Here is a 17,468-nt window from a genome sequence, read left to right as displayed (position 1 = left end):
ATTTGCTTTCTGCCATCATTATTCTATTATGAAGATGACTAAAATTTCTCAAATGCTTTTGAATAACATAGGAATATTTTAATTAGTTAAATAGGTACTAACATCATAGGTCATTAAAGTGCTAGTACTGTTATAATTGCAAAATCTTTTAATGCTGGCAAAAACATAGGTACCTCTAATTTGCACAATTTTGTGACTATTTTAGTAAGTAGAAAAGAGAGATGAGTAAGAGATCTAAACATTATTTCCTTTGAACATTTTTGTGAATGAATCTATTACTTGCTTATTTCTCAGGCTGTAGATCATGGGATTTAATAAAGGAACTATGACAGTGTAAAATAGAGACTCCATCATATCTTGGTCATCAGCCCGTTGGGATGCAGAGCCCACATACATGAAGGCGAGGGGCCCATAGTATAAAGATACAGGTAAGATATGAGCTCCACAGGTGGAGAAGTCTTTTCTTATGCCTTTGACAGACTTCTTTTTCAAGATTGTAGAGAGGACAAATGTATAAGATACAAGAACAGTCCCAATGGTGAAAACTTGAATTGAACATGAGAAAATAAAAACCATTGGAAAGTTAATAGAAGAATCAGTACAGAAAATTTTTAACAATGGGATAATGTCACATTAAAAGTGATGTATTGTGTTGGAATTACAGAAGGTTAATCTATAAAAAACCTTCATGAATTAAAGCATGAAGAAGGCCACCTAGAAATGACAAGATTAATAGCCAGATGCACAGTCCATTGGTCATAATGACTGGATAAAGTAAAGGTTTGCATATGGCTACATAGCGATCATATGCCATTGTTGCCAAGATAAAACATTCTGTGGTTACACCAATTGCAAAGGAAAAAAAATGTATCCAGCATTCAGAGAGAAATCAACTTACTCTTAGTGAAGAAGTTGATCAGCATCTTCAGAGTCATGTGGATGATAACAAATCATCCACAAAAGCTAAATTCTCAAGGAATAAGTATATTGGGATATGAAGGTGAGGGTCTTTCCATACGACAGCAATCAGACCAAGATTCCCAAAGATGGTGATGAGATATATTACCAAGAATGCCAGGAACAGGGGTATTTTCCAGTGAGGTTGATATAAAAATAATGTGAGAACAAACTCTGTCAGCAATGTTGCATTTTTCTCTTCCATGTCCTCACTGCATGTCCTCTAAAATAAAATGCAACAAATGAAAGGCAAATTTGCAATGGCATTATGAGTTGAATCTGTGGAAGACGTGTTGAAATAAACAGTGCGATTATAAGAGACCTCTTAGTTTTTTACCATTACCATAAAAAAGAAATCCTATATTTAAGGTGTTAAATAAATGAAAAAATATATATATTTTGGTTTAAAAATTGGGTAGTAATATGCATTCTCTGGTATACTAAATTTATGTGCACACTCTTATGTGGTAGAATAATCCTGTGTCTAGTATATGAATGGAGTTCCTGGGGAACAGGTTTTTGAAAGATCTGGATAAAAATCAATGCAATAAATGCCATGTGAAGATTCTTAAACTTTATATTTCATAATATAAGAATGCACCAAATACTTTCAGATGGGAAATTTCATGCACTTGTGTGTGAAGAGTTCACCAAACAGGCTTTGTGTGAGCAATAAAGCTGTTTATTTCACCTGGGTGCAGGCAAGCTGAGTCCGAAAAGAAAGCCAGTGAAGGGAGATAGGGGTGGGGCTGTTTTATAGGATTTGGGTAGGTAGTGGAAAATTACAGTCAAAGGAGGTTGTTCTCTGGCTGGCAGGGGTGGGGGTCATAAGGTGCTCAGTGGGGGAGCTTTTGAGCCAGGATGAGCCAGGAAAAGGAATTTCACAAGGTGATGTCATCAATTAAGGCAGGAACTGGCCATTTTCACTTCTTTTGTCATTCTTCAGTTACTTCAGGCAATCTGGATGAATACGTGCATGCTTGGGTTCAGAGGTCTGACATTGCTGTCTTCTTATATTAATAAGAAAAATAAAACAAAATAGTGTTGAAGTGTTGGGGCAGCAAAAATTTTGGAGAAATAATGGGCGGTATTTCTCAGGGCTGCTTCAAGTGGGATTAGGGGAGGCATGGGAACTTAGAGTGGGAGAGATTAAGCTGAAGGAAGATTTTGTGGTAAGGGGTGTCCCTCAGACACTGTGGGAAAGGCCTCTACCCATCCAGTGAAAGTTTCTACCCAGATCAAGAGTTATTTTAGTTTCTTGACTCGGGGCACGTGAGTAAAGTCAATTTGCCAGTCCTGGGCAGGGGCAAATCCCCCATCTTGATGTGTAGGGGAGGGAGGGGGCCTGAACAATCCCTGAGGAGTAGTAGAATAGCAGATGGAACACTGAGAAGTGATTTCCTTGAGGACAGATTTCCATGATGGAAAGGAAATGAGAGGTTCTATGAGACGGGCTAGTGGCTTGTAACCTACATGGAAGAGGTTATGAAATGATGACAGAATAGAATGGACCTGTGAGGCTGGAAGGAGATATTTTCCTTGGTCTAAGAACCATTTGCCTTGTGTGGGAAGAGATTGATAGGTGGAAGTTTCAGTGGGGGAGTAAGTGGGAGTGGCCGGTGAGAAGGAGAAAAACTGGCAGTGAGGGACAGAAGTTGGAACGCTAGCTGCTTCTTTAGCTACCTTATCAGCATAAGCGTTGCCTAGAGCAATGGGATCTGATGCCTTTGATAGCCTTTGTAGTGAATGACTCCAGCTTCCTTTGGAAGTAAAGCAGCCTTGAGAAGAGTTTTTATCAAAGAGGCATTAATGATGGAGGACCGTTGTGTAGTGAGGCAACCTCTTTCTGCCCATACAACAGCGTGGTGATGCAGGATATGAAAGGCATAGTTACAGTCAGTATAAATATTGACATGTATTTCCTTTGCAAGAGTGAGAGCTCGAGTTAAGGCAATGAGTTCGGCTTGCTGAGAGGTAGTGGAAGAGGGCAGAGTGGTAGCCTCAATGATAGATGTGGAAGATACCATAGCATAGCCTGCCTTTGCTGGTGAGTGACGATTAGGCCTGGTGGAACTGCCATCAATAAACAAGTGTGATCAGGGTGAGAAACAGGAAAAGTGAGAAACAAGAAAGAAGGAAATACGGGGAAGGAAGTGAGAAACAGGAAAGAAGGAAATATGGGGAAATGGGGTGAATGTCAGGTTGATCAGAGAAGAAACAGTCATGGGGGTCAGGTGTGGTGTCCAGAATAATGTGGGAGGCTGGATTGAAGGAACAATCATAATTGTTGGGAGACTCAACAAAGAGTGAGTATAACTGAAGGAGCTGGGGAGCAGAAAGTATATGCGTCAGGTGTGAGGAAGAAAATAGATTTTGGAAGTTATGAGAACTGTAGAGTGAGTTGAGCATAGTTTATGATTTTGAGGGCCTCTAAAAGTATTAGGGTGGCAGCAACCACTGCACGGAGACATGATGGCCAGCCTAAAACAAACAGTAAGGTCAAGTTGTTTTGACAGAAAGGCTACAGGGCATGGTCCCAGACCTTGTGTAAGAATTCCAACTGCACAGCCCTGCATTTTGGCTGTGTGTAATGAAAACGGTTGGGATGAGTCAGGGAGAGCTAGAGTGGGGGCAGCCTCTAAAGCTGTCTTCAAGGAATGGAAAGAGGAGTAGGGAAAGGATTTAGGATCTGTGGGGTCAGCTAGGTTTCCTTTTGTGATATATAACGGTTTTGTTAGGATGGCAAAACCAGGTATCCAAAGGCAAAAGTATCCAACTATGCCCAGGAAGGAAAGGAGTTGTTGTTTTGTAAAAGGGGTCAGGGTTCGAGGGATCAGTCAGACGCAATTGGCAGGGAGAGCATGTGTGTTTTTGTAAAGAATTATGCCAAGGTAGGTAACAGATGGAGAAGAAATTTGAGCTTTGGAGGGGGATACCCATCTCCTTTGTAAAATAAATGTTGAAGGAGCAGGAGGGTGTCTTGTTGAGAAGATTCAAAGGAGGGGCTATAAAGTAGAAGGTCATCAATATATTGAATAAGGTGAGAAGCGGAGGGGTGGAAAGAAAGCAAATCATGAGAAAGAGCTTGGCTGAATTAATAAGGGCTGTCCCTGAAGCCTTGTGGCAGTACAGCCCATGTAACCTGCAGAGGCTGATAGGTGTCAGGATCAGTCCAGGTAAAAGCAAAGAGAGGCTGGAATGAGGGGTGCAGGGGAATAGTGAAAAAAGCCTCTTTAAGATCAGAATAGAATAATGAGTTGTGAAGGAAGGCATTGAGGACAAAAGAGTGTATGGGTTGGGCACTATAGAGTTGATAGCAAAATAATTTGGTTGATAAGGCACAGATCCTGAACTAACCTGTAAGACTTGTCCGGTTTTGGACAGGTAAAATGCAGGAATTTAAGGAAAGTTTATAGGTTTTAGAAGCCCATGCTGTAGCAGGCGAGTGATAACAGGCTTTAATCCTATTAAAGTATGCTGTGGGATGGGATATTGGCATTGAGTGGGGTAAGGGTGATTAGGTTTTAATGGGATAGTAATGGGCATATGATTGGTTGACAAGGAGGGAGTAGAGGTGTACTATACCTGTGGATTAAGGTGGAAAGATACAAGGGGAGGATGAGAAGGAGGCTTTGAACTGGGGAAAAAGGTGGCAATGAGGTGTGGCTGTAGCCTAGGAATAGTCAGGGAAGTAAATAATTTAGTTAAAATGTCTCGACCTAATAAGGGAGCTGGGCAGGTGAGGATAACTAAAAAGGAGTACATAAAAGAATGTTGGATTTGGGGAGTTTTAAGAGGTTTAGAAGCCTGGCCGTCAATACCCACAACAGTTATGGGGGCAAGGGAAACAGGCTGTTGAAAAGAAGGTAATGTGGATTGGGTAGGCTTCATATTAATTAAGAAGGGGATGGACTTACCCTCCACTGTAAGCATCTGTGATGGTCCAGGAGGCTTCTGAGGTGTTCGGGCAGCCTCAGTCTTCAGCTGCTAAGCTGAGAAGATCCGAGAAGGAGTCAGTCAGAGCCTTGGGCTAGTTGGACAGTCCAATTTCCACTGGGGTCCCACACAGATGGGACACGGCTTAGGAGGAATCCCATGCTGCGGGCATTCCTTGGCCCAGTGGCCAGATTTCCAGCACTTGAAGTAAGATCCTGGGAGAGGAGGTCCTAAAGGAATGCCTGACTGCTGTGGCTTAAGTGTTTTGAAGTTCTTGAGTGCTGGAGTTCTGGCTGGGGTTTCTCTCACAGTAGAGGCAAGGAATTGCAACTCAGAAATACGTTGCTACTTGGCTGCCTCTACTCTATTATTGTACAACTTGAAGGTGAGGTTAATTAAGTCCTATCATGGGGTTTGAGGGCTGGAATTTAATTTTTGGAGTTTTATTTAATGTCAGGAGTGGATTGTGTAATAAAATAAAATGTATATTGAGAATAAGATGGCCTTCTGACCTTTCAGGGTCTAGGGCTGTAAAGTGTCTCAGGGTTGCTGCCAAACAAGCCATGAACTGGGCTGGGTTTTCATATTTGATGAAAAAGAGCCTAAACGCTAACTGATTTGGGAGAGGTTGGATAAAGAAAAAGGAGCATTAACCTTAACTATGCCTTTAGCTCCAGCCACCTCTTTAAGAGGAAATTGTTGGGCAGGTGGGGGAGGGCTAGTCATGGAATGAAACTGTAAGCTGGACTGGGTATGGGGAGAGGAGGTGATAGAAGGATTACAGGGTGGAGGAGCAGAAGCTTAGGAAGAATTGGAGCCTGATTCAGCCTCACAGGGAGTGAACTGAGGAGCAGTCTGGGGATGAGGGGAGAGGTCAGATGGGTTGGTAGAAAAGGAGGATTGAAAAGACTCAGTGATGCTTGGGGTTGGGACTGAGGGGACAGGCGGGAGGGAAAGAAGGAGGATTTGGGATGAGTTGCATTGGGAACAGAGACTAGGGAGGGACCGATGTGTAAAAGAATGCCTGGACATCAGGCACTTCAGACCATTTGCCCTTTATGACAAGAATTATCTAGATCATGTAGGATGGAAAAGTCGAAAGTGCCATTTTCTGGCTATTCGGAACCATTGTCAAGTTTGTATGGGGGTTAAGCGGTATTGCAGAAGAAAATAAGGCATTTAGGTTTTAGATCAGGTGTGAGTTGAAGAGGTTTTAAGTTCTTGAGAACACAGGCTAAGGGAGAAGGAGGAATTGAGGGTGTAAGGTTACCTATAGTGAAAGAGGCAAGCCCAGAGAAAAGAGAGGGTAGAGACATAGGGAGAAGGGGTAGGGGGGGTGCTTGCCCCCAGGAAAGTGGAGAGAAAAGAGAGGGTAAAGACATGGAGAGAAGAGGTGGGGGGTGCTTGCCCCCCCAGGAAAGTGGAGAGAAAAGACAGGGTAGAGACACAGAGAGAAGGGGTGGGGTGTGCTTGTCCCCCAAGAAAGTGGAGAGAAAAGAGAGGATAGAGACACAGAGAGAAGGGGTGGGTGGTGCTTGCCCCCAAAGAAAGTGGTGCTTGACACTAAGGGTGAAGGATCAAGGCAGGCATCCTGGCCATGATCAGACACCTCTGAAACGTGGGTGAATAATCAAGCAGGCATCCTCACAGTGGTTAAACACCAAGGGAAGACTGTCTTCCCAAGTCTGTGACTGGTGCCGGAGTTTTGGGTTCACGGATAAAACGTGTCTCCTGTGTCTCTACCAGAAAAGGAAGGGAACTGAAATTAAGAGAAGGGAGAGATTGAAGGATGGTGCCAAGATTGAAAGGAGAAAGAGATTGAGGGATAGTGAGAGAGGTTGGAGAAGAGAGTAAAAAGAGGCCACTTACCCAATTTAAAATTGGTGAGATATTCCTTGGACTGGTTGGTCTGAGGACCAGAGGTCGTAGGTGGATCTTTCTCATGTAGCAAAGAGCAGGAGGACCAGGGATTGATCTCCCAAGGGAGGTCCCCCGATCTGAGTCACGGCACCAAATTTCACATGGGTCTGTGTGAAGAGACCACCAAAGAGGCTTTGTGTGAGCAATAAAGCTTTTTAATCACCTGGGTACAGGCGGGCTGAGTCGGAAAAGAGAGTTAGCAAAGGGAGATAGGGATGGGGCTGTTTTGTAGGATTTGGGTAGGTAGTGGAAAATTACAGTCAAAGGGGGTTGTTCTCTGTCTGGCAGGGGTGGGGGTCACAAGGTGCTCAGTGGGGGAGCTTTTGAGCCAGGATGAGCCATGAGAAGGAATTTCACAAGGTAATGTCATCAGTTAAGGCAGGAACTGGCCATTTTCACTTCATTTGTCATTCTTCACTTGCTTCAGGCCATCTGGATGAATATGTGCAGGCTTGGGCTGAGAGGCCTGACAGGAAATGCCATCATAATATATTTTTTAAATTTTTTGATAGTGTAGAAAATATGCTGTGGGATGGGGAAATTGGACTAAGGGGTACTAATTAGAAACTTGTTACTAAGATCCCAGTGATCCCAATCAGATCACATATAAAAATGATCTGGGAGTGTGTTTTATGAAAAATATAGATTGTGAGAATTTAATGTAGAAATTGATTATTTCAGAAATGAGTTCTAGAAATCTGCATTTAAAAAATACCCTCAAGGTGATTCAAATGAGTGCTAGGTGTCTTGTCCAGGTGTGATATTACATTGGAAAAGATGGTAAGACAAAGAAAAAGATTCCAAAGAATCTAGAATGTAGATTCTCTAGTATTCTGTGACATATTTGGTGGGAAAGAAGTGGTAATAAACGAGACAAAAGTCACTTGGTGACTGGGTAATAGGTCATTAAATATTGAGGATGGGAACTCAGATGTGCTGGCAAGTTCTTGGAGTAAGCATCCTGCAGCCAACTAGGTGAGATCCAATCAGTAATATGAGTCTGTTAGAGCTTAATAGAAATAATTACTTGGAATCTTTGTGGTAGTCAAAGGTGTAGTTAATGATGTATCCACTGGAGAGTAACAAAGAAACAAAAAGAGTGGCAAGAAAATCAACTGGAGCAAGTTATGTTAAAGAGATAACAAAGTGGACATATGTCCTAGGAATGGCCAAGATGTGATCTTTTTTGCTATCCAAGTCTTGGTGGCTGTCAGAGGTTACCTACTGCTCTAGAAGCCAAAAGAACTAGAACTCATTTTTCCATTCTTCTTGTTTGTATAGTGAAGGGACCTGATCTAGGATGGCCAATGAAACACGCTGATCCTACATTCGGAATATGGAGAGAAAGAGAAAGGTTTTGGTTTCAAAAGCAGCCTGTGTACTCTTTATATCTAAAATAAAAGTTGAAATGCAAAACATTTTAAGAAGCATATTAAAAGTTTATGAAGGCAATGGAGGCCATTTATTAAATTGCCAACACCTGGAACCCCTTTCTACCACATGCGTTTTGGTGGCAGACAAAGAATTTCACCTAGATTTGTTTAATCAAAGCCACACTACATACAGTTGGATATAGAGAGATAGAGACAAATGTACATGGACAACAAAAAAAATAGTGCAAATGCAGTTGAGGCAAAAACATTAAGATCCCAGCATGTGCATCCTGTATCTACAACAATGCCATTGAAAGTATGAGCTGTGTCATTGGAAGTACAGCAGCGGAAACAGCCACTCATGAAGTTCCTGTTGGGAAAGGATTTGGGCTGCTGGCTGGCTGCTTTACTTCCTTGTGTTCCTGCCATTATTTTCTAGCTGATTTCTCCACCTTCCCTACCATTTCTATACTGGAATCAATATCCATTCAATAACATTTTACATTGCAACCCAAAGCCCTAGATGTTCAAAAGTGTAACAAAAGAGATAGTAGAAAAGGGTACTGAACAGAGTGATCAAGGGAAGAAGCAGGAGAGAACTAGAAAGCTGAGTGTTGTGGATGGACATAAAGAGAGGTAAGATCAGTGTGACCAAGTGAAGCACAGGGAAAAATGACAAAATAAATGCCCTAGAGGACAAGGAGTGCAGGGAATTCGCTGTGTATACAAATGAAGTAATTTTTAGTGGCCTTAGTGAGAGGAGTTTCCCTTATGTAATAGAATAAAAGTCAGCAATACAAAGTGAAGGGGAAACAAGTAGCCCAGCAGTGAGGGGATGAGGTACAGTACTCTACGACATGTGGAGAATAATTGGCATTTGTCTGCTGCTCATAAACTAATGTTTTTTTCTCCAGTACAATATTTAAGAAAAAGTTATCAAAAGTAAAGATTGACAAGTGAAAGGAAAAAAGGCATAGGAAATGTGGAAATGGAAATTTGCCTAGGTGAAATAAAACAAGGAGAAAAAAATTAGTCACAGAATAATCACATCATAGATGGTAAATGCGAGAAAGACAAGTCAGTAAAGAAGGAGACAGAAAGAAGTACCCTGGTGTTCTTCCACTCATCAGAGCCGTATCATTTTGGCACATTGGCTGGGAAAGGAAATTCATTCATCAGACTGGTGAGTATGGAGTGGATCTCAACTTTAAATCTGATCTTTAATTTTAGGGCACTCTTCCAGCTATCCTGTTGCCAAACTTTCTTTCTCTTTCTATCTACAGTCTCTTAACCCTGTCTCTGCGTGTCTAATGTGCAGGAATCTTTACAGTTCAAGGAAACAGGTCTGTTAGAAAAGATCACAAATCACATCAGGCAGTAACTCAATAAACATCTCTCTCTACAGTTTCTCTGGTGAGCACATGGTATTTCTAAGCCACCTAGCGGAAATAAAAATCCTCTACATGAGGCACACTTTGTTCCTCTTTTTTCATGGTAACACCGCAGCTTCCTTTTACACTGTTAGACATCAGGCTCTGGGCCTCTTATGGGAAGGGGATGGTTCTGCCTTTAGCAGAGAGGATTAAGATGTCTTCTGTAGCCAAATGTTAGTCTTGATATTGTCCCCCTCACAGGAAAATGGCCATTTGGTTCCTACATTCCCTTAAGGCACCTATTCTGTCCCCTATTAAGACAGTACTTAAATTAATAAGGGGATTTTAAGTCTGAAAGTTAACTGGAACGATTCTTCTATGGGTAAATGCTTTAGCATGGGCTATAACAGCAGGATTTAGAGTTCAATCCAGCACACCCCCTCCCTTAAACGGGCCTTGCCCAATTACGTGATTTTTCTTGAAATCCATTTATTTTTTTTTTTTTTTTTTGGAAAGCACACAGGTCACACAAGTCTAGGAGGTCAAAGGGAAATAAAAGGAAGAGGACTAAGGCTCCTTGGGGACAGCATGACTATGGCCCAAAAGTTTAGTTCCTCTGGTGTCATGCTTTGGAGGGTCATGCCTGCAGTCATGGGCGGCACATTGAAATGGGTGCCTGGATTCAGGATCCAAGGAGAGAAAATAGTTGGGGGGATGTGCTCTACTGGATCACATACCAAAATGAAGGAGACTAAAAGAATGCTTTTATTCTCTCTTCTTTTTCTAAATGGGTAACAGATCATCTTCAATATGCACTCCCCTGGAGTGTATTTTGAAGCACTGGGACTCCTTTGACCTTAAACTTTGAAGAAAAAGTGGCTTATTTTCTTTTGCACAAGGGCATGGCCTTTCTTACTACACCTTTGTAAGTGTTGCAAAATTAACCCAGCTCTTTTAGCAATCATATCAGGCAGTCATAAAGAGAATAATTCCCCAAAATTACAGGAGCAAGTTCCAGGGAAACCATCTGAGGATTCCCTTGTTTGGAGCTCCTTCAAGTTCCCTTCTCATTTCAGGACCTTAGACAAGTAAAGGGAGACTTAGGCTGATTTTCTGACTCTGATAGGTATACAGAAGCTTTCCAAAATTTACCTCTCGTATTTAACCTCTCATGGAGGAATGTTATGCTGCTCCTAAGCCAAACCCTAACTGCAGCTAAAACAGGCAGGTCTGCAAGCAGAAGAGTGTTTTGAAGATAAGCAATATGCCTCCTACAGTAGGCTAAAAGAAAAAAGAGAAAATAGAGAAGGCAAAGAAATAGGGGAAACACGATTTCCAGTAGGAAAAGAGGCAATACGTCTTAACAACCCTAATGGAACTCCTTTCTATGGCGTTTTCCTTCTTTCATGGTTTAAAATGGCTTCTATCTCTTTTTTAATGTTCTTCCAATCTGGAAAAAAACCTTAAAACACTTGGCTTAGAGTTGAGCTAGGTGGGAAGAAACCGAGAAGCCTAATATGCTGGCAAAAGTTTAAAAATTTCTTACCAGTTGGGCTTTTGAATTCTCTCTCCCTGTGCAAGCCGGTAAAAGGGATAATAAGGATCATTGTTTATCTCTGTAAATTTATAATTAATGACAAAAGATTTGTGAGATTGTTCTTAAGCTGTAGACTATCTGGTATGCTTTGCATCTCTTTCTGTATGGTTCTGTCAAAGAAAACACATTTTACTTCAGGATGCAGGCCAAGGACCCCATAAGCCTACTGTTTGAGCCAACCCAACAAAACGGTCAGTAACAAAGTTGGCTACAAACCTCCGTCTTGTTTCATGTCTTTGGGAACATGACCTGTAACCGCATGGCAATACTGTGTTTTAGTCTCCGCCATTTTACAATGGTGGCTGTCTTCTTGTGCTAAGTCAGTTCCTGGGTAAGGGCCACAAAATCAGATAAGCCAGTTTGTCAATCTGGGTGGTGCCAGTTGGTCCATCAAGGACAGGGTTTACAAAACATCATAAACACTGGTCTCAAGAGCAGTTTAGGAAGGTTCAAAATCTTGTAGCCTCCACTTTCATGGCTCCTAGGCCATGGTTTCTAATCTTGTGGCTTGTTTCTTGGTCTGGTCCCCAGGCAAGAGGGTAGTATATCTTGGGAAGCAGCTGATATCATCTTTGTTTTAGACTATAAACTGTAAACCAGCCTCCTCCCAAAGTTGGTTCAGCCTATGCCCAGGGATGGGCAAGGACAGCTTGGAGGCTGGAAAAAATATGGAGTTGTTTTAGTTGGATCTCTTTCACTGTCGCTCGGCCAGAGTCTGCAGGACAGACTCAGCAATAACCTAATTAAGACTCATTGATTTCACCTGAGAGGTTGCTTTCTGTAAAGTTCAAAGGCTGAAAATCTTAACTGCTTGGCATGGCTAAAGTCAAGTAACATGGGATTTGAAAGGATTTTCTTAAAGAGTGCTCAGCTTAATTAAAAGTGGATATTCAATTTATAGGTATATTTAAAAGGCCTTTTTGTTTTTCTCTTCTTGGCTCTTGTTTTCTGAAAATGTCCTCTTTTCAGTTGACTGAATTATTTTTCTCGATTTTTTGTCTTACCACTCTTAATGAATTCATGGGAGGCCTTAAGATAACTTATGGTAGCGTGGGACTCCTTGGGAAAACAGAGGAGGCCTCACAGACCTCATTTTGGGGAAAAAAAAAAAAACTATTTTCCTCATGAAATCCCCAAAATTAAAAGCAGGTAGTTCCCTGTCAGAATCAAAATCTTTATTCTGTTATGCATTGTGTTATCTACCATTTTGAGTTTTGGGGGTAGAAAATTACTTCACATTATGAGAGAGCTTTGATGTGTAATAAATAGGTAGAAAATACACTGTAAATGATGGCTAATAGTGGTTATAAATCAGAGAAGCATGCCCTTGGCCACCTGAAAGATAAGGAAACATCCCCACCCCACACTAAGAGATATGCTAGTTCTGTGCAATTTTATCCTACTAATTCTGCCAGGTAATAAAAGTGAGTAGGGTGCCCATAACTCAGAGGTTTCTTTGTTGAGGAAAATCAAACCAATGAACTTCATAGACCCCCAAAGGGAAACTCTATATCTTGGATTAACACCTCTAGTAAAGTAGAGGAAAACCTACATGAACTTAACAGTCAAATCAAAATTATTGACAGGCTCAGAGAAAGTGCAGGCCTCAGCCCTGGGTGGCTACTATCCCTCTTTAATGAATTCCACTGTTCTTTATGGAATTGGCTAACCCCTTTGGTAAACCTTCTCTTGCTTATATGTCTTGTATTAATATTTGGACCCTTTATACTCAATATTATAACTCAAATTGTTTCTTCTCATGTAGAACTAATCAAGCTCCAGATGGTGCTGCAAACTAAACAACACAAGGACAAGCTGTTCTTCCAAGGACCTTAGATCACCCCCAGGAGGAGCCCTAGTGCTGTTCCCCATCTGATGTCCCTTTCAGCAGGAAATAGCCAGAAACAGTCATCACCCAAAACCCCCTAACAGCAATTAGGGTGATATTTCCACAGGTGGGAATGTGGTAGGATTTATTAAGAAATTATTTTAGACAGATAAAAAGGAAAAGCAATCCTTGAAAAGTTTTTGTTTCTTTTTAAAGCAGCTCCAGAAAAGTTTTCATGTGTGTCCATGTCATTTTTTCCAATTCAACGAGAGACAAACAACCCTGGTGTTCCTCAACTCATCAGAGCCATATCACTGATACAGGAAATATAAAGAAAAAATGGTAATAATTCCACGTGGATAAAGTGGAGATCTTCAACTGGGCATTGTAGATTTAAATGTGTATGTGAAATACAGATTATTCCACAGTGTGCTATGGACTTCAGAATCATAAATATTAAGTCACTGTAAGCCAGTTCTAGTTTTTACAATTGAAATTACACTTTATGCCACAGTTTCCCACAATATGCTTCACTTCTGACATTTTATGCAAACTTCAGTTTGTATATAAAATTAGATGTTTTTCATCAAGAAGAATAGCTAATGGATGCTGAGCTTAATAAGTAGGTGATGTGTTCATTTGTGTAGCAAACCACCGTGGCACACATTTACCTATATAACAAACCTGCACATATACCACAGAACTTAAAATAAATGTTGATTTTTAAAAACTGAATGCTCCATGTATACCTATGTAACAAACCTGTACGTTCTGACATGTATCCCAGAACTTAAAGTATGATAATAATAAAAAAAACTGGATGCTTTTAGTGTTTTGATTAGCATAGTCTCATCCGAGTTAGTCATGATTTTAATAAGGCCAGTGATCTAGATTCCCTTCATAAGCCAATCCCAAGTAAAATTGTCCACGTCATGAAACTGTAGCTCAAACTCCAGATATTTTCCTAACTTTCAGGTGAGTGGAAATCTGATGAGAAATTTTATTAGGCAAAGGTCAGGGGAAAAGAGAAGAAAAAACAAAGACAGTCTTGCAATGTATTCCCTCATAGGTGGTGTTCTTACACTGCCTTCAAAATGTCATTCTACCTTTCTATCCAATTAGAATGTGTGTGTGTGTGTGTGTGTGTGTGTGTATGTGTGTGTGTGTGTGTATTTTTTCCATAGAGTCTGTGTGTGAGTCAATGACTAACTTAACTCCAATTGCTCCTTCTGTCTATGTTACCACCAAATGAGTTCTTCTTGCCTGCTATCTGGTTAGAGCCAATTATCAAGACAGGGGAATTGCAACAGGGGAAAATTTTAATGCACACAATTCCAATTTATTACCTGGCTAAATGGGAAAGCAGAGTTTAATTATAACTCAAGTCAAACTCTCCAAATAGTCAGAGGCTAGAGTGTTGGTTCTCTTTTCTTTTCCTTTTTCTTTTCTTTTCTTTTCTTCTCCTTTTCTCTTTCTTTCTCTCTCTCTTTCTTTCTATTATTTATTTTGTTTTTTTTTTTTTTTTTGAGACAGAGTCACTCCATCACCCAGGCTCAAGTGCAGTGGCAGGAAGTCTGCTCACTGCAACCTCCTCCACCTCCTGGGTTCAGGTGATTCTCGTGTCTCAGACCCCCAAGTATCTGTGATTACAAATGTGTACCCTCACGCCTAGCTAATTTTTGTGTTTTTAGAAGAAACAGGATATTACCATGCTTGCCAGGCTGGTCTCAAACTCCTGACCTCAAGTGATTGGTCTGCCTCAGCCTCACAAAATGCCGGGATTAAAAAAATGAGCCACCATGCACGCCAAAGGCTAGGGGTTTTTAAAGATACTTTTTCAGGAAGAGGGTTAGGAAATGGGGAATGCTGATTCATTGGTTTGAGGATAAAGGTGGGCCCCAAGCAAGGAGGAGGTTTGCTTTGAGGGGGGGCTCTTGTCGTCTTTGTTTCAAAGTCAAACACTATAAAGTAAATTCTTCCCAAATGTAGTTTGGCCTACACACAGGAATAAAGAAAGTCAGCTTGTTTAGAAGTACTGTCTAATTTTCCTGTTTCAGATTCACTGACAAAATATTCCTATGTGAGTTTTTTCTCATTTTCATAATCTTTGCAATGGCAGTTTCATCTATATTTCTCTATATTATCCTCTAACTCATAACTCTGAGTCTACTAAGGCTTTTGTTCAGTTATGTTTTCACCTGTAAGAATATAAAAAAAAATCTAGTCAATTACCATATAAATTCAGTTCATCAGATCAACTAAGCCTGCCTTCTCTTTACCAATTTTTGCACCTTGGTCAAAATCTGAGCTCAGAGCAATAGTGAAAAATATTCTCTCCCAAACATATGCCCCAGAAATTTTCTGTGGAATTTCTAATTCTTCTTGGATCATATGATTTAGGACTCTTTGATCTGTACCAGTTTATTCACATGATCCTGGAACCTAGTGAAGCCTGTAGCTGAAGCTAAATGTTGCATACCTAAGACAGACAGCAAAGATCCAATCCCTCAATCTTCCAGGGAAAGAACAAAAGTGCTGAGGAAATAGGAAATAATCTCTTAGAATCCATCCCCAAAGTATTTCATCAAAAACTCACTTGTCTGTCATGCAATCAAAGAAAAAAGGATAAACCAGTCTCTGAATATAAGGCAAGATTAGAGGTACTATTTGTAAAACATTGTGGTCAATCTATGTTCATTTCAGGAGTAGAAAATCCTTGTTCTATTCAATGATAAGATCCACCCTGAAATCTTTAATGTAGTTACAAAACAAAAACTGGAATGATATGTGAATGATGAGGCCAAATAATTACCAAAATATTTTACCTATTGGCATAAAGACTATTTTGATTTGGTTGTTTTGAGATTCCCTTTAGAAGAGAAATTTAAAACAATCTCCATTTGTAAGAGATCTACATATCTGGTCCAGGAAGAGTAGTAGGACTAAACCTCTAAATAATGGAGAAGGTAGTAACTTTATCTACATCACAAAACCTACCTTTGTTTAAGGTGGTTATCTTGGCTGTCTTGTCTTAACTGGGTCTCAACACTCTTTTTGTTTATTTGTTTTGGAAAACTGTGGTACTTAAGTCTGAAATCTAAGCACTGTGACTTTAACATGTAAATATTCTTACATGTCTACTGTAAGGTATGAGAACTTTATATTTTATATGCAAATTTCAAGGACACATCACATCTGAACAAAAAAGAGGCATTTGTAAATGGGTCAAATGAAAAATAGTAAAAACATTTTCCAAAAATATTAATAAAAAGCTTTGGTCATCTGGGCAAGACATCTTAACTTCTTCCAACCATGAGAAGAACAATTCATGTCTAGAGAGTCTTATAAATTATTTTTTTCTCCTTCTTTCTTTTTTTTTTCTTTGACAGAGTTTCACTCTGTCAGCCAGGTTGGAGTGCAGTGGTGCAATCTTGGCTCACGGCAACCTCCATCTCCTGTGTTCAAGTGATTCCCAAGCAGTGGGGAATACGGGGGCACACCACCAACCCTGGGTAATTTTTCTATTTTTAGTAGAGACAGGGTTTCACCATGTTGGCCTGGCTGGTCTCAAAATCCTGACCTCAGGTGATCCACCCACCTCGGCCTCCCAAAGTTCTGGGATTATAGGCAAGAGCCACCATGCCCAGCCTTGAGTTTGTTGTTATTGTACCTGACATGGGGCTACAATTTTAGAATGAACTCTATAATATTTGCTTCTTTCTGTAAGTTTATGTATGTCTATATGTTGTATAGGTGACATTTTGCTACCTTTGGATGGTATTGCAAAATTAATTTGTATTCTAGTTCTATTCATTTGGCCTATAGAAGAATATATGCTTATATGAATTAAGGATTCCTTAAACTCAGAAAGATGGAAATTCACCAATATATTTTTAAGGTTCACATTATCTATGATAATCTCTGTTAAGTCAAAGCTACTTCAAGTTTGTTGGTTTAACTAAAATAGACATCTCTTCAGAGTTTTCAAAATTAAATATAATACAAACACACAACTTTTATGTTAGCTGAGTTTACTAGTCAAATAAGTTTATATTATCTCTAACTGATGTTTAAATTCAGAAAACTAACAGTTCAACCTAAACACCTATGTGAAAATGTGATAGCATTTACTTCATATATATCAGGCACAGCAATAAAACAACAAAAACATATATTTGACTTTTATATTTTTGCTTTCATGATGACTGACTGACATAAATGTGCTGTATAGTTAACAAGAAAGTAATTTGAGAGGTAACTAGTTTTGTCTAATGTCTTATGAAATTTTCATGAGTAACCCAAACAATTTAGAACAAGTGAATTAAGTAGATCTAAGTACAATAAAAGTTTATAAATGAACTTTTAAACTATAACTATGTTTACTAATAGATCTGCTTAAAAATGCCTCCCCTCTTCTCTCTGATAAATTATACCCTTAGAGTTTCACACAGTTGAATTAAATTGCCAATAGTCATTGAATATCT

General features: G+C 40.0%; 2 long non-coding RNA genes and 1 pseudogene across 2 annotated transcripts; 1 reads left to right on the top strand and 2 right to left on the bottom strand.

Annotated features, from left to right (window-relative positions):
• Positions 235-1,162, bottom strand: OR5H5P (olfactory receptor family 5 subfamily H member 5 pseudogene; annotated as a pseudogene).
• On the bottom strand, positions 1,622-7,014 carry LOC105373997 (uncharacterized). The gene is made up of 3 exons (XR_924254.3): positions 6,763-7,014; positions 4,875-4,949; positions 1,622-1,967 (listed from the first exon to the last, which is right to left on the bottom strand). It is a non-coding gene; the product is annotated as an uncharacterized LOC105373997 (long non-coding RNA).
• A 2,500-nt stretch (positions 7,015-9,514) lies between these two features.
• Positions 9,515-13,639, top strand: LOC105373998 (uncharacterized). Its single transcript, XR_924256.2, has 3 exons — positions 9,515-9,599; positions 12,922-13,111; positions 13,201-13,639. It is a non-coding gene; the product is annotated as an uncharacterized LOC105373998 (long non-coding RNA).
• Positions 13,640-17,468: the final 3,829 nt, after the last annotated feature.

Source organism: Homo sapiens, chromosome 3 (assembly GCF_000001405.40).
Source record: "Homo sapiens chromosome 3, GRCh38.p14 Primary Assembly".
In the NCBI taxonomy this organism is placed as follows: domain Eukaryota; kingdom Metazoa; phylum Chordata; class Mammalia; order Primates; family Hominidae; genus Homo; species Homo sapiens.
This window is presented reverse-complemented; position numbering and strand designations above follow the sequence as displayed.